At 38.0% G+C, this 27,699-nt stretch overlaps 1 long non-coding RNA gene across 1 annotated transcript in view; it reads right to left on the bottom strand.

The window, feature by feature from the left end:
* Positions 1-6,555: 6,555 nt before the first annotated feature.
* LINC03106 (long intergenic non-protein coding RNA 3106) overlaps positions 6,556-27,699 on the bottom strand; it is a 51,734-nt gene continuing 30,590 nt past the window's right edge. The window contains exons 4-7 of the long non-coding RNA NR_170894.1: positions 14,825-15,011; positions 10,499-10,580; positions 8,718-8,835; positions 6,556-8,114 (exon numbers count right to left, since the gene is read on the bottom strand). This is a non-coding gene — a long non-coding RNA (long intergenic non-protein coding RNA 3106). The remainder of the gene's footprint in view (positions 8,115-8,717; positions 8,836-10,498; positions 10,581-14,824; positions 15,012-27,699) is intronic.

Here is a 27,699-nt window from a genome sequence, read left to right as displayed (position 1 = left end):
GTAATGGGTCTGACTACCCAAAGGTAATACAAAGCAATTATTTCTTCACTTTGCAACTTTCAATGCAAGGCCAAGACTTTCATAACTCATTAGGTCTAAGTAACTGGCAGTTTACAAATCACCAAGAATAAACTTGAATGTTCTCTGTAGCACTCAAGATATATTATGTGTCACTGCATTTACTCAAAGGACAAATAAATATTTACATGTGCTTCTTTGAATACTCTTTTTTTTTAGTGAGAGGGTCTCACTGTCACCCAGGCTGGGTGCAGAAGCATGATCATAGTTCACTGCAGCCTTAAATTCCTGGCCTCAAGTGTCCCTTACCCTCAGTCTCCCGAAGTGCTGGGATTACAGGCGTAAGCCACCATGCCTGGCCTGAATACTCTTTATATGAAGAAATTTCTTGATCTTTTGAAAAAAATATGATCACTTGCTTACATCTTATCTTAAAGCTGGAGAAAAAGGAAAAGGAAAATAGTCCTTGACTTTTATCTGTTTGTTCATTGAGTATCTCCTGAATGTCTACAGGGGTGGTGTTTACACAGTGGTCAAGCATGTGGACTCTGAGGTAGCAGAGACCAAGTAGGATGTTGCCAATGCGGGATCCTAGGTCCGTGGGCCATACTCTCTACCTCTCAGCCTCCCAATTTACAAAACAGGTTTAATAATGTGACTGATTTTGCGTAGTTTTGAGAATTGAATGAGATCATGTTCTAAAAGCCCCTATCAGATACTTGTGGCAAAGATGAAGCACTCAATAAAATGTAAGAGATTATTATGCTAGAGTCTAGAACACATCAAATGCTTAATACAACTCTGAGGAAGAAGCTACTCATGAGGAGTTTATGTTAACGTCTGTGTAGAAATAGGATGCATAAAAAAATAGCCCCTGCCTTCTTGAAACTTGTACTGTGAGAGTGACGGAATACAGATAAGTAAAGGTGGAGGGTGGGGAGAAAGAAATAAAATACCATATGAATTTAGGAAAGGAGAACCAGTTCACACATCTGGGTGAAGCTACAGGGAAAATTTCATGAAGGGGATTACTCTGAATGGAAACATGAAAAAAAAGAATAGTATTTGTGTTTGTGGAAATAACACCCTGAGAGTGAAGATTTTTCCCAGGGTTCTGCCTTCAGCTGAAGGTGTGCATTGTTATGATACCTGGAAGGAAATAAATATTTCTTTCTAAGAATTCACATGAGTTCCTCACCTAAGTGCAATAGTTGTAGCAATTACACAAATCTGGGGAGTTGGCTAAGACTTTTATGGACTTCAGTAAGGAAAATTAAAACCAACATTAAAAAATGTCTTTCGGACTGGGCACGGTGGCTCACTCCTGTAATCCCAGCACTTTGGGAGGCCGAGGTGGGCAGATCACGAGGTCGGGAGATCAAGACCTTCCTGGCTAACATGGTGAAACCCCATCTCTACTAAAAATGCAAAAAAAAAAAAAAAATCAGCTGGGCGTGGTGGTGGGCGCCTGTGGTCCCAGATACTCAGGAGGCTGAGGCAGGAGAATGGTGTGAACCTGGGAGGTGGAGCTTGCAGTGAGCCGAGATCGTGGCACTGCACTCCAGCCTGGGTTAGAGAGTGAGACTCCATCTCAAAAAAAAAAAAAAAAAAAAAGGTCTTTCAGAATTCTCTAGCTTGTCAAAGTAACTTGTGCAAGTCTCGTACCAAAAACTGGCAAGGGCAGGATTGAAAATTCTGATTTTAAAGAGTGCATTTTTAATTACTATATTTCCTAGGTTGCCTGTGAAGGAATTATTTCTTGAAAAAAAACCACACAGTATATTCATACGTGTATACATTTACATAGGATAAATAAGGTTTTTCTTATTTATTTTTCATTATAATTTAGCTGTCCACTTGTTATAAGACCAAAAAAACATCTTTCCCATTTTCGATTGAGTTTTAAGAATCTATTCTATACTGGTACATTTTTGCTAATGTTCAAATCAGAATATATTGAGAGAGACTTGGAAATACAAGTATCTCTTTATGTCTGGAGAGATGTAAGTACATATAACTGATTGTGACTTAGCTAGTAAATATAATCAACTAAACTGTTGAACCAGTGATGCTGTTTATCAAAATTATCCAGTAATTATGTTTTGCTTTATCTTCATGTATTGGCCAATTCCCTGGCCGTTCTGGTTCCCTCAAGGGACAATGTGGTACAGCAGAAGGGGCATGTCTTCATGCAAGAGTCAAGTCTGGATTTAAGCCCCTAATAGTTGTGTTACTTTCAGCAAATTATTAAATTTCTTTATGCTTCAGATTTCTCATCTTCTAAGATGGGGCAAAAATATATATTCTATAGTTATTCTAAGGTTAAAGCTGATATTGCATATGCAGTACTTAGTAATATATTTGGTACAGATATATTTTTAATAAGGTACTTAAAAAGTTAAAACTATTGTTTTTTTAATCTTGAACTTCTTTTGCACTTTTTGTAACTTTTTCTTAGATACTTATATTTTATAACAAATAATAACTACTTTCTGGGTTTTTTTATAATGACTAAATATAAATAATAAATGTAGACAGCTTAGCACCTGGTAGAGTCTCTGTGAACATTAGACCCCTTCTCTTCTCTTCTCATAATTCACATTAAAATGAATTCTAGTCATCTTCATTTTTTTCCTTATTTGTGTGTATATCTCTACCATCTATGACAATATGCTTAGCTTGTATGCAATGTGAATTTTCCAATTTTTAACCTTAATAGTAAAGGAAGAGAAAAGCCCATGCTAAATACAATCTTAACAGTGAAGAAAGAAAAGATATCATGCAAAATGTAATCGCAGCAGGACAAGAATAAACCACTTTTCAGGCAAAGAGATGATGAACTTAAAATGTAGGTTCCTTTTCAATATTTCAGGAAAACATTTTACATATGGTTCTGGGAATGTAGCCAAAATGAGAAAGCCAAGAGTTATATCCAATAGATATTATGAGAGGGTAAGAGGAGTCACAGCTATCCAATTACTTCTATAATAAAATTACAACATCTTATACCTTTCTGTCCACATCTTTGTTTTAGAAGGAAAGGCTAGGGGTGGAGGCTATGAAGTAAATCTTTAAAACTTATTTGAAAAGCTTCTCTCTTTTTCTCTCACTATTCCATTTTATAGTGCAGGCTGAAGCTAAAATGCAAGGAGAGCCCCAACACAGAAAATTTTCTTAGGAAATTTTTGGAAGCAGATTTAATAATGCACATCCATTCATTCAATACCTGGTTTGAGCACTTACTATGTGTCAGGCAGTGTTAAAGTTACTGACTATTCAATCAAGGAATTGGGGGAAACGTTCCATGTGCTCACATGGTGAAACTACCAGTACAAGTGCACCCATACCCAAACACCTTCCCTTTTTCCTGTTACAGTGAAAGAACTCTTCCAATTCCTACCCATAATCTCCTCCTTCACTTGGCTAATGTGTCCCATCCTCTGTCCTGTTCAAGGACTTCACTCTGGTGATTGTCTCCTTCTCCCTATAACATCAATTTTATTTCCTTTTGTAAACATGCTTATTATGAAATATATGCCAGTAATCTCATAGCCGTCTCCACTGCCGACCCAGCTCTCTAATCTCTTTTATGGCAAGGTCCCTTGAAAAAGTTGTGTGTATTCCACTTTCATTCCTTACAAACTTTCTTGAAACTGTTCCATTTACCCATTCAACCCTACAAAACTGCTCAGATCAAAGTTGTCAGGCACTGCCATATTGCCAAACCCAGTACTGCATTCACAGTTCTATTACTTAACTAATCAGCTGCTGCAGACCCTTGGTTTCCAGGACCCCACACTCTCCTGGTTTTTCTCCTGCCTCAGAGAGGAATCCCTATCGTCCTGCTCTGCTATTTTCTCATCATCCTCCCTAGAACTAAATGTTGGAGGGCCCTGGACTCCGTCCTCAGATCGTTACTTTGTTTATCTTCCTCATAAGTGAATCTATCCACTCTAATGATTTTAAATGCCATCTATATTCTGGTAACTTCCAAATGTATATTTCTAGCCTCAAAACTCTTTCCTTAATTCCACACTTGTTGACGTGTATAGTCAACTGCTTACTTGGCTTTTCTGTAGTTGAAGTTTTACCTATCTCAAACTGAACTCTCAATTTCTACCTCCTAAACTTTTTTTTCTCCAAGTATTTCCTAACCTGGTCAGTGCAACTCCAATCTTTAAACTTCAAATGCCATAAAAGTTGGAATCATCTTTGGTACTTTTCATTTTGTTATGACCCCATCCAATTCCTCAGCAAATTCAGTCATCTCTACTTTGAAAATTTATACAGAATCTGACATCTCTTCACCTTGGTAACAATCACTATATTTTATGTCACCAGGATCTTCCACTTAAACTAGTGCAATAGTCTCAACTCTTCTCCCTTGACCAACCCCTTCCAGGCTATTCTGTACATAATGGGAAAAGCAATCCTTTTAATACATAAGTCAGATTTTGTCACTCTCTGCTTAAAAGTAAATTGTTGTTGCCCCCTCTCCCAGGATAAAATCAAAGGTCATATTACAGCTTCATGATGCCTGACAATCCTTCAAATATCATCTCTTCCTTCTCTCCTCCTTGTTCACCATACTCTAGTTACAAAGCCTGATTGTTGTTTCATGAACATACCCAACAAGTTCTTGGTCTTTGTACTTATTGTTCCCTTTACCTAGAATTATCTTCCCTAATTATTATAGGTCAATACATGAGGGAGCCTTTCCTGATTATCTTTGATGAAATGGAATCCCAATAACTTCTCATTGCTGCAGCCTTGGTGCTCTCTTTATGCCTTTGTATTGCTATGTGGTTCATAACATCACCACCTGCATTTTTTTTTTTGGCTGTTTGTTCCTCACTGCTAGAATGCCAGTTCTTTGCTGTATCCTAGTGCCTAGAACAATGCCTGGTGCCTAGTAGGTGCTTAATGAATATTTCTGAATGCAGAAGAATACAGAAGTGGTTTCTGCCCTCACAAAATTTACTTTGTAGTAAGGACTAAAGGCAAATACAAGTGAGTAGACAAACAAATAAAATAGTATACAAATCCTGAGGAGTAATTTTAAGAAGTGCTTTAAAAGCAATGCCCAAGGCAATCAGATGGAAATTAACAGGGAAAAATAATTTAGATTGGTTAGTTGAAGGGGCTTTTATTTTTATTTTTATTTTGAGACAGAGTCTCGCTCTGTCGCCCAGGCTGGAGTGCAGTGGCGCTATCTCGGCTCACTGCAAGCCCCGCCTCCCGAGTTCACGCCATTCTCCTGCCTCAGCCTCCGGAGTAGCTGGGACTACAGGCGCCCGCCATCACGCCTGGCTAATTTTTTGTATTTTTAGTAGTGACGGGGTTTCATCGTGTTAGCCAGGATGGTCTCGATCTCCTGACCTCGTGATCTGCCCACCTCGGCCTCCCAAAGTGCTGGGATTACAGGTGTGAGCCACCGCCCCGGCCGGGGCTTTTCTAAAAAGGTGACATTTCGTGATGAAAAGGAGTGGACCATTCCTGAGTTAAAGAGAGAGTACTCTATTTCCTGCAGATGCAAAAAAAGTGTAGTTATTATGAACATCCAATCAACGACCTTCTCACAGCACATGTGCACATAGCTTTCAGTAGAAATGTGTGTAAAAAGAGAAGAGTAAAGAGCATGCTTTCCTCTCAGTGGATAGTAGAAAGAAAGAAGATTCTGTCTGGACATCAGAGAGAGGACTGCATGCATAAAGGGGAAATTGTAGCTTGAGATACACAACAATTATAAACCTTGTCTGAGCTCAAGGTGTTTATAGCCGATCTACATGTTTTGCATGCCTTTGCGAAGGAGGCTATCTGAAATTTATGTAGGGAATAGAAATAAAATCCTTCCTTTCCACTACATGACCCCCAACCCCATTGAGCATCAGAATTGTAACAGACATCCATTAAAAGAATACTTGAGATTAGGAATTAATTAGCAAAAAAGAACCAATATTAATGGCATTATTAACAGTAGCCATCATTTATTGAGTACCTAGTATGAATCTGGTACCCTACAAAACTCTTTTATTATGGTAATTCATTCGGTTATTATGTGAGTTATTATAGAGTAATTATGTGAGAGAATTCATTTAACATGCTTAGCACAGCATGCAGCACGTATTATGTACTTATTAGAGCACATCTTTTAATAGTAATAATATCAACTATAATTTATTTATTATCAGCTGCTTATTACAAATGAGAAAACTAAACTGATGTTTAAAAATGATTACAGAAGGACCCACAAAGTCATATATTTTATAATATCTAATCTGATATAAAAAAATCATATTGACCTGATTTTCAATATGTATTCATGTATTATCTTTCCCTTCCTCAGGTAATGATTTTGTCTCTCTACTTTCATTCTTTTCTGTACCTGATACTTCAGTGTAATTAATACAACATGAACTAAACCAAGCTGCCTTTTCAGAAATTTGTTACCTAGCTGGCTTTCTTAATTAAGGCCGTTTCTCCTTTCGTCCCCCTTCTCCTTCGTTCCTTTTGTCCTGCCTTCCATTTTGCTTATTTGCATCATTGCCCTGCCTCTGTTTCCAGTCTCATGTCCACACTTCAGCCATCCTTGTATACACTTCAGAAATTATTGTTTGGTACCTCCATAGAAGCTCATCTCCTTCTTTTCACAGGCAGTATTTTTCCAGCTGGCACCACTGTCTTGCAACTTGCTTCCCCCTTAGTCTTGGTGCACAAGTGCCAATCTCGACTGGCAGCTCTTTGGGCAACCATTTGGTGCCAGCCTCCTTCCAATGCATGTGGAGCGCCAGTGAGTGCCCCTGAACTATTCCCAGCTGATTTCTTGACTCCTGGGGCTTGCCAAAGTTTTCTTCAAAGCAGCTAAGTCTCTAATCTTCAGAAAATTTCTCAATTACTACAGATAGATCTTTATTCCTCATGGGATTTGTCCTTTCAGAATCACTACAAAGCAGAACTATGCGAAGAAATTAGGCTATAAAATGCTTATGAGGAGTCCAATTTGGTGTTTTGTTGTGTTTATGAAATATATTATTTAGTAGAGTTTACTTTTGAGACCGAACACCAAAGATCTGCTTTGTCTCTCTACTCACATGAAGAGGCAAGAGTGCATCCCAGATTCATAGTAACTTAAAAAGAGTCAGATTGGCCAATAGCAGATTTTTCCCAGCCTACTCAACCTTGTGATATGGGTACTACAGGATAACAGATATGATGATTTTAGATTTGAAAAGACTTAGGGTTGACTCCCAGCACCATCATAAACTAGCTGTGCTATCTTAAGAAACTACTTAAATTTTTCTTTCTAGGTTTTCTATCTGTAATAAGGGGTAGAGGAATTTCTTTTTTTGTAGTTCTGTTGTAGGAATTAATTGAGGCATCAAATATGTATTGGGTATGAATCCAGATGTATCCAGGGATCGAAGCAAACAAGCTTTCTTCATTTTCTTTAACTCATTGTAATTTCTGACTGAAATCTTCTATTAGGCTGGTAGGGATAAAATATAAAAACTCAATATAATTTGTACCTGAAATTTTATACCCACTCTCTTTGGGGAGCAGTATCTACTACTTGAGGATATTATACAGTGCTAAGATTTTGGCCGTCAGGTCTTGGTTGGGGAGAAACAAATCTGATCTGAAGTCATAAGTCAATACTGATGGCCCCTGAGATATTCACTACATCGGTGTGCATGGCCCCTTCAGATCCCAAAGATCTCTAATTTTCTCTTCTTTGCAAAGCTCGAGTGAAGAATCTTTGATGTGGTTCCCAGAGGATCATCTCTTAGGTGCCCCTTCTCCAGTTCTGTTGCCTTTGTCTCTGAAAACCAGGGGATAGGTTTTCTCTACTCTCAGGATCCATAGAATTTTCTTTCTTCTTTTGTTCCTGACTCAAGCCAAAGAAAAGCTTTTACTGTTACACATATGGAGAGAATCCTGCTTCTGCCAGATATTTATTTAGTCTATATAAAGTACAAATACCCTTTTCCCTATGTTTCTCTGTAGTATTAGTTCCTTGGTAGGTATGAAATTCTGAAAATAAATGACTCTTTCCCAAATTTTTTTGAAGAAAGCAAACAGAAATTCTGTCTTCAGTGCTGAATGGAGGTTGGGAAGAGTGGGGATTAAAAGGAGTAAAATAAAGAGAAAGAAAAGACTTAAATTAATATTTCAAAGTATTGTCCTGCATTATTAAAGCACTGTCACAATGCCTGTCCCACTATAGGTGCTCAAGAAATTGAAGTTATACTGACATTTAAATTTGACTCTTAGGCCAGATATGGTGGCTTATGCCTGTAATCCCAGCACTTTGGGAGGCCGAGGTGGGAGGATCACTTGAACCCAGCAGTTTAAGACCAGCCTGGGCAATATAGGCAGGCCTCATCTCTACAATCAATCAACTTGATTCTCTAATATTGTTCTTTTACCATTGGAAACTGGATTTTTCCAGCGTCTTTCTTTTTTTAAATGTTAGTTTATATTACTTTATTTTAAGCTCTTGGATACATGTGCAGGATGCATAGGTTTGTTACATGGTGGTTTGCTGCACCTATCAGCCCATCACCTAGGTATTAAGCCCGGCATGCATTAGCTATTTATCCTGATGCTCTCCCTCCCCCTGCCACGCCCACAAAGGCCCCAGTGTGTATTGTTCTCCTCCCTGTCTGTCCATGTGTGCTCATTGTTCAGCTTCCACTTACAAGTGAGAACATGCAGTGTTTGGTTTTCTGTTCCTGTGTTAGTTTGCTGAGAATAATGGCTTTTCCAGCATCTTTCTTCTGGAATGTCCTTTGACTCTGGGCAATCATGTTGAGATGGCTGGTTGGGGTGAGAAGAGACATCTGTAACTATGAAACTGAGAAAACTTAATTGGCCAAAGATGATAGAGGGGTGGAAAGGGATCAATCCCAGCATTTAGGTCTCCTGAGCATTATGGAATTCAGCTACCAAGAAGACACTCACGATTTCTCAAAAGACACCAGAGATGAGATCACTTTCCAAGAAAAACATAAATTACTCATATAATCACCTGCTAGTATATTTTTGCCTCTTAAACCTTGTTAGTTTGTGAAGGAGTGCTAACGGGTATGACATTTGCTTAAGTGGACAGACTAAAGATGAAGTGGTCAAAGGATAAGAAGGTGATATCTAGAAGATGTTGCAAGTGGCAGACTATTAAATGGGGCTGTAGAAAGCAATAGCTAGAGTCCTACAGAGCACAGAAGCAAGACTGTCTCCTCAGGTAAGCAGTAACAACTCATATTTGTGTGGCACATTTCAGTTTTGTAACACTTTTGTGTATTTCTTTTTTCCCTTATACCTTCACAGCACTGGTCTAAAAGCATATAGGTAGTTCTTTAATTGTTACCTTATAGATGAAAAAAAAAGAAAGCTCAGAAGGACTTACCTGAGCCCAAAGAGCTAAGAAGCAGGCCAGAACTCAGAAGAACTATGCATTTAAAAATGACACTCTATCATGTCCTGAAAGTGCCTTGAAAGGATCCCTCTGCCTCTAGTTTTTAATCTGAAATCTTAAGTTTGATAAAAATTTTACATGCAGTGTTGCCTATCTAAAATTGCCCCTTTATGGGACTTCAGAATTTCCATTATCTTTGCTCTTTATATTTGCACTTATCATTGCTCCAAGAAATTCTAAAAATTCAGATAAAAGTCCTTGCTTGATTCTTTAAGGTTGTTTGATATTTGGATCAATTTGTATGTTTGACCATAGCTGTCTGTTTTTATAATCTGATTTTTCCCCATGCATAAACTAATATCTTAACCTTGTTCTGTTTTATTGTTATCTTCTATTTTGCATAATACTTTTAAATGAGAATCAGGAAGATAAGGAATTGAAAGTTGTGGTTTTAAAAACAAACCTTGCCACAAGCAAAGGTGACTGGTTGGATTCTGCCTTTCTTATCCTCCTCCTCCCATTAAGCTCCTCAAAGACACTTAAGGAATCTCAGAGCAGATTTCTTACTTAATTTCCTTTAAATCTCTTGACTGTAAACTGAGACAACTGAGACAGCCTGATAGCCCAACATGAAAAAAGCAATCACTGAATATGGTATGCCAGGATAACCACAGACATCTTTTTAAATTCTAAAATATACTCTCATAAAGCAATGGAGCAACATAGCTTCTGCTTTCTGGAGTGTGGACAGGACCATTTGGTCAGGTCCTTCTCATTCCTTGGAAAGCAGAGGCACTAAGTAAGCACATTGCAAATTTCTCATGTACTCTATCTTGCAAGATGTCTTTTAATTGGAGTCAGAAAAATTTGGTTTGTTCTCCTCCCTCTCATATTCTATAACTCATAATGGATGATAAACTGAAGTGATAAAGTCACTCTATTAATGAAAGGTACCCTAAGGCTATTAGCAGTAAACATCTGGATTAAACTCTGCCTATTATTGTCTGGCTATAACCCCACTTCTGTTTTACAACTTTATTCTTTCCACTCAGATTCTATCTTTACCTTTGCACTTGGTGTTCAAGACTCTCAGCTCTTCCTGGAAGACCTAGACGTGCTCCCTCCATCTTCACCTCTTTCAGATGACCTGAGGTAGCAGAGCTTATGTTAGTACAAATGCCCTAAGATTCTGCTTCGATTTTGACCATTTGGCTAGCAACCAGGCCACCTACCTTATTTGGAAGAGCAATGAAAAAGATCTCATCTTACAGACAAACCTTACAGTGAGCTGAAGTAGTAGGTTTGGAATGCTTCACCTTTTGTTGGTGCCATTTTTGGACCAAAAAAAATAGAAATCCGCATGTACAATAATTTCTAGAATATGAAAGATAAAGCAGCACTAGCTAAGGTAATGTTGATATCAAACTATTATCTAAAACAGAACCATAAGCAAAGTGGGGTAATTTTGAATGATTACACTGGTTTTCTTCAATTAAATTGCTTGTCCTGCACTGTGAGTCTTCTCAGTCTTTCAACATCAGGAGAAATGGGCGTTGTTTTTATTTAATTTTATGTTTTTTTTTTTTTTTTTTTTTTACTACTTTGGCTGGTTTCTTTTCTCAGTTGTAACTTTAATAGCCTATGCTACAGAATTATTGAGATTATACATTGCTATACTCACACTCAGTTTAGTTAATAGCTTATTCATTACTACTGAGTCCCAAGGTTAGAGCAGATTTGTATCTAACGTTGAGACACAAGGCAGGGAATGCAGAAGGTAATGCAAACTCATCTTATATTCTTTAATAACAGAAACAATTCTACTGGAAAAAAGCACAAAACACTGAGACATTTATCCAAGTATCTACTAGGTAAATTTTTTCTAACACAGTCGATATAATGAAAGCTGTATATTGATTTATTTATGCATTGTAACAATAATAATGAGAAATGAAGGTGTTTGAATGAAAGCCTACAAGTCAATCTTTAGAACCATAATTATTACTAGTTCTGCTAAAGAAGTATGGTTTCCTATATTATAATATATATAAAGCATTTTTGCTTTTCAGTTAAAAAAGTAAAAAAAAAAGTCTGAACTGTCTTACACAGATAATCTGTACTATTATGAAAATCCTGATTTAGAAGTCAACTTGAGAGGCCATTATTCTCTTTCCTTGTCTTACAGTTACACTAAAACCTTTAGGAATGTCTTTATTATACAACACGCTAGTTTTGTTTTCAGCTCACGTGTAACTGAGTGGCCAATTTGTTGTCCTTGGAAGGTGCTGTATCATTCTATTTGCTACCATTGGATCAAAGTATTGTGTATCCCATTAGAATTATACACTTAATATTAACCCCTTGTGTAGGCTAGGGGCTATTTGTACCCAAATATTCTTCAATGTTTATTAAAATACAAAGTCCAGAGCTGCAAGTTTGCATTTCGATAATTACACCAGAATATTTTAGTATAAATGTTGATATTTACCAGGTAAAACTACCTGCATATGACCCCAGAAGTGGATCACATATTGCAGTTTATAATTTGCCACTTTAGTGAGTCACAGATTAGAATCATGGCACTGGATTTAGGAACTGAGTCATTAGTGAGTGTGGGTGGAAGTGTGGTTACTCTCTGAATCTCACTGTAGCATTGTCCCTTTCTACATTAACGCTGAAGAAGCTGCTGTACTACATTTAAGAGGTAAATTATATGCTTTCCTAATGCTTGAAAAGTTCTCAAGACTCTCATGAATTTCAAGATTTTGCTATTTTTGTATCCCAGACTTAAAATACTTTAAAAAAATGATTTTCTAAATTTTCATTTTTATTTTTTGGTTTTCTCCCTAATAACCTGCATGCTGTCTACAGAGATTACAATATATGTAAAGCACAGTTACCTGCACATACAGAAAGATGGCACATACTATATAGAATCACATGCTATAATTTAATAATCTACATTGAGTTATTTCATACGCAAGCCAATGACACTTTTCCAATGTTTTCTAATCTTACCTTATTGTTCTCATTCGATTCATTGTCCATTTTGTTGCCCAGTCTTTTCTTTCTTGCAACTTTCTAATTATCTCTCTACACTGTGGTAGGTTTATATTCTAAATTATTATTTTTTATGCATTACTTTGTACATTTCAACTTCATCTCATCTTGTTATTTCTTGCCCCATATGTCTAATCTTTACTTTTCCTTCTTTATGATTGCTCTTTCCTTCTTGGCACTGGTAACACTTCTAATTTAGTATGTTCTGTAGTTTAAAAAATTTCTCTTTACCTCTTCATGCATATCATTACTAAGTGCTTAAAAATAGCATACATTAATTTTCACTTCTATGACTTTTTCAGTCACTTAATATTTTGCAAGTCCTTGCTACTGTAGGCTTCTAGTCCATATATATGTATATATATAAATGGATTATATATACATAAAATTCTATGGGGCATACTTATATATTAAAAAGGCACACAGTGTGTTAATTTCTCAAGGTAGAACAAACTAGTTAAATTGGGACCAGAACATTTTCTTCAGCTCTTGAGTTTAATATACATCTAAGGAAACCAATTTAACTTGCTCAAATTTACCTATGTAGGAAATTTATGATTTGTTAATGCAATTCTTTAATTAGATTATTTAAACCCTGTAGTGTATGTGTGTGTGTATGTGTATAATACTTTTATTGATTTCTCCACCCAATACTAATTGCCATTATTATTCTTGTCCTTTTTAGAAAAGGTCATATCATTGTCAGCAAATAATAGTCAACATACATGATATATGATAGGAATTATCTATACCCAAATGTGAGAAACTACTTGACTAGTTCCAGAATTAGTAGTATTCCAAGGAGCTGTTATCAACCTGACATCCGAGATGCTGGCCTGCTTCCATTTACTCTATATAGGTATGAAATCATAGAAGTCTACAAAGACCAGGAAGTTATGAATTTGTTGGCAGTAAGTAAATAAAGTGCAGTGCATAAATCCCAATGCTCAATGAAGAATATAATTCTTCTTTTTCATTTATCCTTTTGTAATTTAATTGACATATTTAGAAAGATCTCTATGGCCAAATCAATTTAATTCATTGAACATTTACAGAGTGCCTGCTAGGTATAGAGCATTATTCTGGGTGAGAAGCAGTAAGTATTGTTCATATTAAAGATATATCAGATTTAAAAATTTTCCCCAGTAACGTACATCTCATCAAAATTGTCACATGATCAAATGTAAAATGTTACCATTCCTATTTCTACGCTCACTAATTCATGGTGTATTTCATTATGGTCTCCTCATTGCTTTCATGAGTGCCTGGAATATACTAGATGTTTACCAATTCATTGAATAAACTCATCACTTCCACTGTGTTCTATTGGTCACATGGGTGCCAGCCCACATTCAGTGTTAATTATATGTGTGTGTGAAATACAAAGAAGTGAGGGCCTATATTAGTTCTGTTCCTCTAGAGAACCCTGACTAATATAGGGTTCCGACTAATATAGCCAGTCCGAGCCCCAAAGCTGAAGAACTTGGAGTCCAGTGTTTGAGGGCAGGAACCATCTAGCACAGGAGAAAGACGTAGGCAGGGAGGTTAAGCCAGTCTAACCTTTTTATGTTCTTCTGCCTGCTTTATATTCACTGGCAGCGGATTACATGGGGCCCACCCAGATTAAGGGTGGGTCTGCCTTTCCCGGCCCGCTGACTCAAATATTAATCTTCTTTGGCAACACCTTCACAGACACATCCAGGATCAATACTTTGCTTCCTTCAATCCAATCGAGTAGACACTCGGTATTAATCATCATAAATCCACCCTTGTCAACTTGAACCCATACGCATCTCCTGAGATCATATATCATCTTCAAATAAAGACAATAATGTCATAATTACACCTAACATAACTATCCTTCCTACAACCAGAAATGAACCAAGCCCCAATCCAAATGCTATTATAAAGTTAACAACACTTAAATGCTGATATGAAGTCAATAAATCCTATGTCATGTGAGAAAGGTAAAAGGAAATAAAATGAAGCTATTTTCTTAGTACAAGTGTATACATGCACAAACATGTTTTTAACAAAAGGAGTAAATACTCATGACAATTACAGTCCTCTTTTTGCAGCTGGTTACATGGTCATAGCTAGTATTAATGACTACCCATTCTGTATTCTCTTTGCCTTCAGCAAGCACCTCAGCAGGTCATGGTTTTTTTCCTGGTGGAGTGACCCCAAACTTCATTCCTGAAGGGTGTGGGCCATCTGTAGTCCTGCCTGGATTGGGTTGTTGTAATTTCCCATTGACCGTAATCACAGGGCATGGTAATACTAAGAGATGCCCTAACGGATCTCCTGTATTCCATGCATACTCTTCCTTACCTTCATTGTGGAGTAGTAGACTGATTTCATCTTGATACTCTGGGTCAGTTACCCCAGCCAACACCATAACTCCATTCTTGGCCTGTTGACTTAATAGGAGGAGGAGCCCAAAGTGTCCAGGTGGTGATTTTAACATCCAGTTTAATGGAATTATCGTCGTCGTGTCTCCTGGTGGCAGCACTTCTCCCTGTGGAACAAAGACCTCTAGGCCAGAAGAATATAATGTCTTGGGAACAGGAAGCAAAAATTTTGCTAGTGGATTACTGGGGGTGATGGTGAATGGTGCCACTTCCACTTCCACCCCTTGATTCTTGGACCTGTGAATCCTGGCTATGGGAGAAACAGTACCATATATTGGATGCTGATTCAGAGCATACACACCCTTTTGGACAATTTTGCCCCAGCCCTGCAAAGTACTATCACCTAGTTGGTGTTGTAATTGTGACTTCAAAAGGCCATTCCACTGTTCTATCAATCCAGCTGCTTCAGGATGGTGGAGAACATAGTAAGATCAGTGAATTCCTTGAGCACAAGCCCACTTCCACACTTCTTTAGCAGTAAAGTGAGAGCCTTGGTCAGACGCAATGCTGTGTGGAATACCATGATGGTGGATAAGGCATTCTGTGAGTCCGTGGATGGTAGTCTTGGCAGAAGCATTGCATGCAGGTTAGGTAAACCCACATCCGAAGTAAGTGTCTATTCCAGTGAGGACAAACCTCATCGCTTTCCATGATAGAAGAGGTCCAATATAATCAACTTTCCACCAAGTAGCTGGCTGATCACCTTGAAGAATGGTCCCATATTGAGGGCTCAGTGTTGGTCTCTGCTGCTGGCAAATTGAGCACTCAGCAGTGGCTGTAGCCAGGTCAGCCTTGGTGAGTGGAAGTCCATGTTGCTTGAGCCCACGCATAACCTCCATCCCAGCCACCATGGCCACTTTGTTCCTGGGCCTGTTGGTCAATGACAGAGGTGGCTGGGGAAAGAGACTGAGTGCTGTCCACAGAACGGGTAATCCTATCCACTTGATTATTAAAATCTTCTTTTGCTGAGGTCACCCTTTGGTGAGCACTCACATGGGATACAAATATCTTCACAGTTTTTGACCACTCAGAGAGGTCCATCCACATACCTCTTCCCCAAATTTCTTTGTCACCGATTTTCCAGTCGTGCTTCTTCCAAGTCCCTGACCATCCAGCCAAACCATTGGCTACAGCCCATGAATCAGTATATAATCACACATCTGGCCATTTCTCCTTCCACGCAAAGTGCACAACCATGTGCACTGCTCAAAGTTCTGCCCACTGGGAAGATTTCACTTCTGTCCTTCAGAGATGCCTAGAAAGGGGCTATAGTGCTGTAGCTGTCCACTTTTGGGTGGTGCCTGCATATTGTGCAGAACCATCTGTGAACCAGGCCCTAGTCTTCTCTTCCTCTGTCAACTGATCATAGGGAACCTCTCATGAAACCATTGGTGCAGGCTGGGAGATAGAAGGCAGTGTGGCAGGAGCGGAGACCATGGGCATTTGAGCCACTTCCCTGTGTAACTTACTTGTGCCTTCACGACCTGCTCGAGCCCGATCACGTATATACCACTTCTTTTTGATGATGGAATGCTGCTGTGCATGACCCACATTATGGCTAGATACGTCAGAAAGCAACCAGTTCATGATAGGCAATTCAGGTCTCATGGTGATTTGATGACCCATAGTCAAAAGTTGAGTTTCCACCAAAGCCCAGTAACAGGCCAAGAGCTGTCTCTCAAAAGGAGAGTAGTTATTTGCAGAAGATGGCAGAGCCTTGCTCCAAAATCCTAGATACCTCTTCTATGATTCACCTATGGAGGCCTTCCAGACGCTCCAAACAGCATCCCTGTTTGCCACTGACACCTCAAGCACCATTGTATCTTTTAGGTCATATGGCCCAAGTGCAGAGCAGCTTGCACAGCAGCCTGGATCTTTTGCTTCCAAGAGCCTTCTCCTGTTCTGGACCCCATTCAAAACTGGCAGCCTTTCAGGTTACATGATAAATGGGCTGAGTGAATAATAAATGAGGAATGTGTTGCTTCCAAAATCCAAATATGCCTAGTAGGAATTGTGCCTCTTTCCTGGTTGTAGGAGGGGCCAAATGCAGCAACTTATCCTTCACCTTAGAAGGAATATCTCGACAGGCCCCACACCAGTGGCCCCTTAGAAATTTTACTGAGGTAGAAGTTCTCTCAATCTTAGCTGAACTTATCTCCCATCCTCTGACACACAAATGTCTCACTAATAAGTGCATTGTCTTTGTTACTGCTTGCTCACTGGATCTAATCAGCACAATGTCATCAATGTAATGGACCAGTGAGATATCTTGTGGAGGCAAAAAGTGATCAAGGTCTCTTCGAACAAGATTATGACACAAAGCTGGAGAATTGATATAACCCTGAGGTAGGACACTAAATGTATATTTCTAGCCTTGTCAACTGAAGGCTAATTGCATCTGGTGGGCCCTAGGGACAGGAATAGAGAAAAAGACATTTGCCAAGTCAATGGCTGCATAAAGGTACCAGGAAATGTGTTAATTTGCTCAAGCAGTGAAACCACATCTGGTACAGCAGTTGCAGTTGGAGTCACCACTTGGCTAAGCTTATGATAATCCACTGTCATTCTCCAAGATGCATCTGTCTTCCGCACAGGCCAAACTGGAGAGTTGAATGGGGATGTGATGGGAATCACCAGCCCTGTATCTTTCAAGTCCTTGATGGTGGCACTAATCTCCACAATCTCTCCAGGGATGCGATATTGTTTTTGATTTACTAGTTTTTCTAGGTAGAGGCAGCTCTAATGGTTTCCATTTGGCCTTTCCCATCATAATAGTCCTCAGCCTATCAGTCAGGGAGCCAATGTGGGGGTTCTCCCAGCTACTAAGTATGTCTGTGCCAATTATGCATTCTGGCATTGGGGAAATGACCACAGGATGAGTCCGGGGACCCACAGGACCAACTGTAAGTTGAAACTGAGGTAAAACTCCATTAATTAGCTGACCTCCATAAGCCTCTACTCTAACTGGAGGACCACAATGATGTTTTGGGTCCCCTAGAATCAACGTCAGCTCAGAACCAGTGTCCAGTAGTCCTCAAAATATCTGATCATTTCCCTTTCCACAATGCACAGTTACCCTGGTAAAAGGCTGGAGGTCTCCTTGCAGAAGGATGGGAGAAAGATTAATAGTATAAATTGTTGGTAGTTTAGTGGGGTCCTTCCTGAAGCGGACCTGGCCTCCCCTTCACTCAATGGGTTCAGGATCTGTAAACTGGCTCAAGTCTGGAAATTAATTGAGGGGCCATGACTCTTTGCCTTTATAATTCAAATTAGTCTTTTGTCCAATCGACTTGGAAGTTTTCTGCCTATATAAATTAAGTAGAAATGCAGTAGGTTTCATATCAATTTCACATCTAGGAACACTGTGATTAATTAGCCAAGGCCAGAGCTCTACATAAGTCAGATTATTCTGATTGCTGCTTTGCCTCTGCTGTCCATTATGGTAGCTACACCCACCTTGCCTTTGAAGGTTGAGTGCTACCTCAGGATCCAATTATTCCCATTGCATTTAAATTTTGTAGTTGAGTGACTGTGGTTCCCACTGTTACATCTGGCATACAGAGAAGAGCAATCACAGAGCTTTTTGAAGATGCAGGTGCTGCCCTCACAAATCTATTTTGCAAAGCACTGGTTAAGGGTATATCTTCTGGACCCTTCCAGTTGGGATGAGTAGGTCTCAAGTGACTAATTCACTCTAGCATCCCAATCTCCTCAAGCCCTTGGATGCCTTCTGCTACATTAAACCAAGGGAGATCGGGCATTTCTAACTCACTCTCAGGGGGTCATCTTTTAATCCATGTTTCAGCTAACCAAGCAACCAAGCAAATAAACTGTCGGACCCTTTTTTAACTCTCCAAGCTGCAACATTGAATGCAGAATCCCTGCTTAGTGGGCCCAAATCAATAAATTCAGCCTGATCCAACTCAATATTCCTTCTACCATTATCCCACACCCTTAGTATCCATTCCCATGCATGTTCTCTAGATTTCTCCTTATCTAAATTAGAAAACTCAAGCAGTTCTTTTTGAATGTAGCATATCTCCTAATTGGTCACACCCTGAACCTCACCTCTAGGGGCCTGCTAGGACTTTAGTCTAGTTATAGGTCTAGAAGCAAACAGAGGTCTTAGGGGTGGCTCCTGAGGAGAATCAACATTATCTTGCCTGGAAACTGCCTCAGGAGAGGCCATCACTGTTACCTCAGGCAGCACATGGTTTGTCTCCTCAGACAAAGGTGGAAACGTTGATGGTAGCATGGGTTTAGAGGGGTGTTGCCACTACTGGGAATGGGGAAGCTGTTTCTTTTGGCAAAAAAAAGGTACATCAGAGTTTACAAGCTCGGTGTCCCTAGCTTCATCAGGGTCCTCCCACGCATCCCCATTCCAAGTTGTAGGGTTCCATTCTTTTCCAATCAATGCACTCACTTTAATAGTAGACACCTGGTGAGGCTGTGCATGCACCTTTCATTGCCAGTCAGCCACTTGCACGAGAAGAACTTGTGTCTGATTTTCCACAATTTCAGCTCTTTCTCTACAGGAGATAAGATTCTCACTCAGGGCAATCTTAGCAGATTTGACACTCAGTATCTGCTTCTGAAGCCAGGAGTTAGAATCCCCGAGTTCATCATTTTCTTTCATCATGGTCCAGTGAACTTAGGAGCAACCAAACAACTTCATTATGTTCCTTGGTTCTCCACATATAGTCAAAGGTATTATGCATAGAGTCACTAAACTCCTTGCCTGTCACGAGTGGTGAATCAGGAGTGTTAAATGCATTTATTTTGCATAACTTTCTAAAGAGTTAATACCAAGGACTATCAGTGTTCTCCATACTATTAGAAGTAGAGTCCTTAGCATTTTTGGGTCTAATCATATTAGGCAGCCAACTCTAGAAACCCCTAAACCATGAAGGAACTCCACCCTTAATACTCTGTTCCTCTAGAACCACTCCTGGTACCTAAATCTGTATTAGGATTCTCTAGAGGGACAGAACTAATAGAATATACACACACACACACACACACACACACACACACACACACACACACAGATATATATGAATATATGTATATATACACATACACATATATATGTATATATACACATACACATATATATGTATATATACACATACACATATATATGTATATATACACATACACACATATATGTATATATGTATATATACACATACACTATATATGTATATATGTATATATCCACATACACATATATATGTGTGTATGTGTATATACACATATATGTGTGTATGTGGATGTATATATCCACATACACATATATATGTGTGTATATACACATACATATATATGTGTGTATATACACATACATATATATCTGTGTATATACACATACATATATATGTGTGTACACACACACGTATATATGTGTGTACACACACACGTATATATGTGTGTATGTGTGTACACACACACGTATATATGTGTGTATGTGTGTACACACACACGTATATATGTGTGTATGTGTGTACACACACACGTATATATGTGTGTATGTGTGTACACACACGTGTATATATGTGTGTATGTGTGTACACACACGTGTATATATGTGTGTATGTGTGTACACACACGTGTATATATGTGTGTATGTGTGTACACACACGTGTATATATGTGTGTATGTGTGTACACACACACACGTGTATATATGTGTGTATGTGTGTACACATACACACGTGTATATATGTGTGTATGTGTGTACACATACACACGTGTATATATGTGTGTATGTGTGTACACATACACACGTGTATATATGTGTGTATGTGTGTACACATACACACGTGTATATATGAGTGTATGTGTGTACACATACACACGTGTATATATGTGTGTATGTGTGTACACATACACATACACATATGTGTATATATGTGTATATATATGTGTATATATATATAAATATACACACACACACACACACAGAACACTGATAGTCCTTGGTATTAACTGTTTAGAAAGTTATGCAAAATAAATGCCTTTAACACTCCTGATTCACCGCTCATGAGAGGCAAGGAGTTTAGGCAGAGAGAGAGAGAGAGAGAGAGAGAGAGAGAGGAGTTTATTAAGGAACATTAACTCACATGATCACATGATCCCACAATAAATCATCTGTAAGCTGAGGAACAAGGAAGCCAGTCCAAGTCCCAAAGCTGAAGAACTTGAAGTCCAATGTTCAAGGATAGGAAGCATGAAGCACAAAAGAAAGATGTAAGCTGGGAGGCTAAGCCAGTCTGATCTTTTCATGTTCTTCTGCCTGCTTTTTACTCTGACCGTGTTGGCAGCTGGTTAGATTGTGCCCACCCAGATTAAGGGTGGGTCTGCTTTTCCCAGCCCACTGATTCAAATGTTAATCTCCTTTGGCAACACCCTCACAGACACACCCAGGATCAATACTTTGCATCCTTCAATCCAATGAAGTTGACGCTAAGTATTAGCGTCAACTAATATCTGAGATACTAATACCTGGCATAAGCAAACAAAAACTAAGCTTATGCCATTAAAAAAAAGATTCTAATAGGCTAAAAACAAACCAGGAAGCAGAAGCTCATTATGAGTCCTCCTATCCCCAAAATAGAGTGATGATCTCTACAAGTGGAGACCATCTGTTCTATAGGGTCTCAGGTATTAGATTCTCCTGCTACAGGGCCTTTGGGGATGGTGTGTAGGCTGGCCACCACAAACTGCATCTGTATACTCAGAAGATTATCTAGACCATCAGATTCTTCATATCCATCAGAAAAAGACAAGAAGGGCAGTGTATTTGGGCCAAGCTCATCCTGCTTACATATATGGTTTCCTACTTTCTCCCAGTAGGGATTCCTTGAAGCAATGAGGACATCTCAGTCAGAGCATAATGTCAACTGATAAGGGTAATTTTACACTTATAGCTGTCTTTTCTATCTCCCTTCTTCTAACCCAAATCAAACCTTCAGCTCTCAGTACACCTCCTCCTGCCCTCCATATCTATATCCTCCACATCTAGTCTACCAAGAAGTTTAAGCACATAAGCCAGCTTCCCAACTTGAATCTATCTACTTCTTTCTGTTTTTATTGTCATCTTAGATGAAGCTATCATATCTGTTTACTGAACAATGGCAGGAGCTTCATAATTCTCTCAGTAACAACTTTTATCTTTCTCCAGGTCATTCTTTAAGAATAGTCAGCACTTAAAAACGCAATTTCAGTAATGTCACTACTCTGTTTAAAGCCCTTAATTAATATAAGAAATAAAATTTTTACCAAGATCTACATGCTTTAAATTATCTGGCTTCTCTCTTTGCATCCAAGACCCTATTTTGCCTCCATGCCCCTCTTTGTTTGTGCTCCAGCCTAATACCTCTTGTGTAGTTCCTTAAACATTCCCATGTTCTTTCCTCCCTCTAGGCCTTGGTAGTTCTCTTCCTACCATTCCACCTGGTTAACTCCTCTATATCTCTCAGATATCAGCCAGTTTGTCTCTTCCTCATGGGAGTCCTTCTGGCCTTTGGATTTACTCAGGTTTTTCAGAAATACTCTCTACATTTTCTGTATTTTTTCATCATTGAATTCATTACAGTTTATAATTACACATTTATGGGATTTTGATTATTATTTGTTTCCTAAACTAAACTATAAGCTCCAGAAAGTCAGGTACATGACTATTTTTGTTTTCCATGAAATCTCCAGTATATATAATAGTTGCTTAATAATATTGAATAAATGAAAGCATGAATAAAACTCACCTCATTTTATTATCTTCTCAAAGTTTGAAAAGATTTATATTTTCTTTTTCTTTTATTTCTAATTGACAAATTATGTTGTCTGTGTTTATGGGGCACAGTATGATGTTTTGATATGTGTATATGATGTGGAATGATTAAATAAAGTCAATTAAATGTTCTTTGCCTGACCTACTTAATGCCCTTTATTTGACTTGGCTTCAGGTGTCCGATAAGACCTATATTCTTAGGGAAGCAGCAAGTAACAAGCAAAAGCTAATTAATATGTGAAATATTATAGCTGGTCAATCTCCACAACAATCTTCATCTTCTCTCATTCCTTATCTGACAGTACCTTTTTATCTATTCTTTTCAGAATGAGAGCTATTTATGATTTTCTCCTTTCTGTTTAGGAAGTCCAAACATAGTGCTAAAAGTAATCAAATTATGTTGAACATTAGGCAGCAAACTGCCTACTCCATATGTATCTTTTCCATCATATTGAAACAACTTCTTTTCAGTAATTCTGGTGTGTCAAATTTCTATTATATATCAGGGACTATTCTTTCTAAAATTTTCTTTTCATATATTTCAAAAAATGTAATAGGAATTCTTTAAGAACCGTATTGATTATTCCCAGACTGGAGTGCAGTGGAGCGATCTTGGCTCACTGCAACCTCTGCCTCCCAGGTTCAAGTGATTCTCCTGCCTCAGTCTCCTGAGTAGCTGGGATTACAGACCTGCACCACCTGGCCCAGATAATTTTTGTATTTTTAGTAGAGACAGGGTTTTGCCATGTTGGCCAGGCTGGTCTCCAACTCCTGACCTCAAGTGATCTGCCCACCTTGGCCTCCCAAAGTGCTGGGATTACAGGCATGAACCACTGTGCCTGGCCAGTTATTTCTATTTTAAAGTAAGACTCAGAAAATTAGGTAAATTCTTTGAAGTCACACTGCCTTAATGTAGGTTCCAGGATTGAAACCTAGCTCTCTCTGATTCAAAAAACAAAGACAGGACAATACTCCTTAAATTGGGCTGAATTTGGAGACCCTATAGAACACATGGTCTCCACTTGTGGAGATCATCACTCTATTTTTAGAATAGGAGGACTCATAATGGGCTTCTGCTTCCTGGTTTGTTTTTAGCCTATTAGAATCTTTTTTTTAATGGCATAAGCTTAGTTTTTGTTTGCTTATGCCAGGTATTAGTATCTCAGTAACTGATTATTTTTTTCCATGTTCACTCAGAAACTATTTGGGAAATGCAAAGAGAAAATATCAGGCAAATTTATTCTACTGGTCAATATAGCATTTACAGTCAATAAAACCTCCAGGAGCTACATATAGGTCTATGAAACTTAGGCTTCAATGTTTCTCTTTTCATGAAGATCTCACATAAAGTCACTTAGATCCTATTCGGTGGTTCTACCCTGGACATAACCACCTTTCCCTAATATTCTCAATCTCTTGTACTGCACTTAACAAGTGTCAGAGTTTTATGCCAAGATGCTTGTATGAATTTCCTTGGGCTCTATGAAACTACCTAAATCTACATTGCCAGAACGTTCTCATCTTGCAATCCCACCAACTTGTGTCCTCCATTTTAAATTATTAACAGTGAATTCCTCTTTCCAACCAAAATTATCTTTCAAATCAGCGGCTTCAAGTGATGAGATTACTGGGAGTTACTTCCTAGGTCCCAGGAATTTCTAAACAATATCTTCATTACTGAAGTCTCTAAGTGCTGTTAAACCTTTTGCACCAGTTCATTTAACTGCTTTTTTTCTTTTATGAAGAACTAAATATATTTAACATATATGACACTGTGGAAAGGGCTGGGACCTGTGGTCATGATCTCAATATTTAATAGATTTTTCCCCCTAACAAGCTAATAATGGGAGACTGAGAGAAGTCACTTAACTTCTCCAGTGTCACAGTTTCTTTATGTGTAAATCAAATGGTTTAAAGATTCTTTCAGCTCTAATGAATTCTGCTCTGTCTCTTTTCCCAGTGACTCAGGTCATACAGCTCATAGCTACTAGGCAGTCATGAGAAATAACTAATAGAGTTTTGAAATGATAAAACAAAACAACCAAAACACTCAACATCATTTATCTAGCACAAAAGAGAATTTTTATAGCCTCTAGCAATTCTTCTTGTAGTTGAAATTTTAGTACCATGCTTTTTCAGGAAATCATACTGGAGGATGAAATAAGGGGGTTTTCTCCCCTAACCTTATTGATCAACAGGATGTCTAGTTAGTCCAAAGCGCAGAAACACACATGTAATGTGGCTCTACAAATGTAAAGTATAAACACTTTGATAAAACTAATGAGAATTTATTTTCCCTTGGCATGGTATCCATGTAAGATATTCATTTGCAATTTTTGAGGAAGCTAAAGAATAAGAGTAAAATCAACTAACTTATTTTTTAGCTTTTCCCTCTATGAGCCTGCAGAACTCAGCAGTCAAGATGCCATTCTAGACTTCTCTCACTCACCAAGAAGAGTGGTACCTTGGGAACAGACATAGACCTCAGCTCTTACATTTCAATGTTCAGATCCTGTCTGTGCTACTTAGTCCTTAAAGCCCTTGAAAATTTAAATCACTTCTTTATTCTTAATTTCTTTTCTGACTCCTTTTCAAGATTGTTACCTGATTCAAGTTATATAGGTACACATGTTATAAACACATATTTATTTGCCCATTTTTCCTTCAAGTCTCTAAATCCATGAAAAAATTATAATGTCATTCTATGCACCATTACACTTAAAGGGTCTTTTACAGTGGCTGGAAATAGTATACAGTCAATAAATGTTTGTTGAATAAGTAGTATTTTTAAGAGCTTAACATGGTGTATGGTGCTTAGCAGATATTTGAAAAAATGAGTCATTTTTACCTTTTGAATTTTTCCCTCACACATAAACTCATCAAAAAAATTCAAATTATATCTAGATTAGGCATGTCAGTTATTTTCCTATTGTCTGAATTCCAAACCAACACTTCTAGACTGCTTTATGATGCTGTGGCTGGAACTCTGAAAGCGACATTTCTTAGACTTCCTTGCCCAGTGGCTTCTGTTTTTTGAGTTCTGTCAATAAGAGACACTAGAGGAAGATTGAAAGACAGGAGTGAGGCAGAAAGGACATTTCTTTTTTAGATTCCTGCTTTTTCAGGATTCCCAGTGCCAGCACCAAATGTCCCCTCAAAGGTAGCAGGAGCAGCTAAGTGATATTTCCACCTCAGAGATCTGAGAATAGTTCTGTCTATAGAATTTGTTCTTTGAGCTTCTAAATTTTGGTGATTTTACTTCTTCTCTTTAGTTACCCAAATAATACAGATGATAGCTATTATCTTCAATTGCTATCTTGGAATTTACTCAGTATTTCCTTTAGGCTCTTTGAGCTTTCCAATGCCTGTGTAACCAATTCTCAATATTAAATTCTTTCTGTTGAAATGGCTGGTAAGGTTTCAGTTTTCTTGAATGGGCCCTGATGGATGCAATATCTACTTACTTTTTCTAAGCATACCTACCCTTATACATTTTTTTTCATTTCCTTGAAATATTTTTTCTTAAGTAACTTTGTTAAGATTATATAGCCAATTATATGAGATTATATCAACCACATTATGGTAAGCAATTTTTTTAACTTCGCTGGGCCTCATGTTCTTCAGTTTGAGGTAGATAAAATAATACCATGTACTTTGCAAATTTGTTCTAAATTTAGCAGTGTCCACAGAATAGTACATGTGCTCATTAAAATTTAGTTATCATTTTTACTAATTAAATAATTTATTATTCAACAAATATATTTTGAATGCTAACCATATGTCTGGCAACTATGTTATGCTCAGAGATATAAAGATGAATAAGGTACAGCCTCTATTCATAAGGAAGTAAGAGAGAGGCTAGCAGGAAAGAAAAAAATCTGTTCAAATTACTTTACCACAATAAAATTAGATGTACATACAGATGTATTAACGAAGTACTATGGGCATACAAAAGGTGAAAAAATTATTGAAATCTTGGTGGATAAAGAAGAAATATCTATTACAAATTTGAAGGACTAGGTGGAGAGTCTTTAAAGAATCTTAAGGATAGAATAGAATTTACAGAAAACATGGAAGTGTATATGACAGCATAGATAGATTTCTTAAATAATATTTCTATTTTCTTGGGAAAGGGAGAAATAATCTTCAATAAAGTTAAAATATTAAGGCTTGAAATGCTTCCTTTAAATGAAGAAATTAGACAAACTCTCATTCTTTTAAGTGCTTCCTTGTCTTGCTTCAGTGCTTATAAACTCTGTTTCACTAAGACTGAGATATCTATCTTGATAATAAACTAGTCTTAGGAGTGGATAAACTGATTCTAAATAAGTTATGACTTCTGTACCATAACTGAATAAGAAGGACCAATAACAAGAAAAGCCTCTTTATATAGACAGAGGCACACACAAAGAAACTTAATCAATTGAGCAATAATCATAAGCTTGGCCTGAGAAATGTATATCCTACTTTTTAATTTCATGCTCTGAAACTCAGCTCAGCCCCTTGGACCAGCTGTGATAGACAGAGGCTAAGCAATAGTCAAGGCATTGTCAAAGAGAAGTCACTAATGTTATATTCTCTGACAACTGGAGTCTCCCACACGATGGGAGTATTTTGATTTTGAATCCAAGTTGGGAGATTAGACAGTATGTCTCCTAACAAATAAGCTTCCACTTTTAAACACCTGAATATACAGAGTGGCAAGTTTAGCTTGCCTGCACCAAGGTAAATTTGGTCAGTGATATAAGGAAAAAGCTGTTTCTGCTACTTAAGCCATTAACTCACATGAGTTCAGCTTTTGGTCTAAGGATATATACTATACTATGTAAGTTGAGAGGGTGAGCTTTGGTGTCTTAAGCCCCTCCAAAAGAAACTGATGATAAGGTAACACTGTAACACTCTCCATGCCCCTTGCTTCCATCAACAATGCTTAAGACTCAGTATCATAAGGGGTATGTATGAGTTTTCCAGGGTCTTTGAGGGATAATGGCTCATACTAAAACTCCT

Source organism: Homo sapiens, chromosome 9 (assembly GCF_000001405.40).
Source record: "Homo sapiens chromosome 9, GRCh38.p14 Primary Assembly".
Lineage (NCBI taxonomy): Eukaryota > Metazoa > Chordata > Mammalia > Primates > Hominidae > Homo > Homo sapiens.
This window is presented reverse-complemented; position numbering and strand designations above follow the sequence as displayed.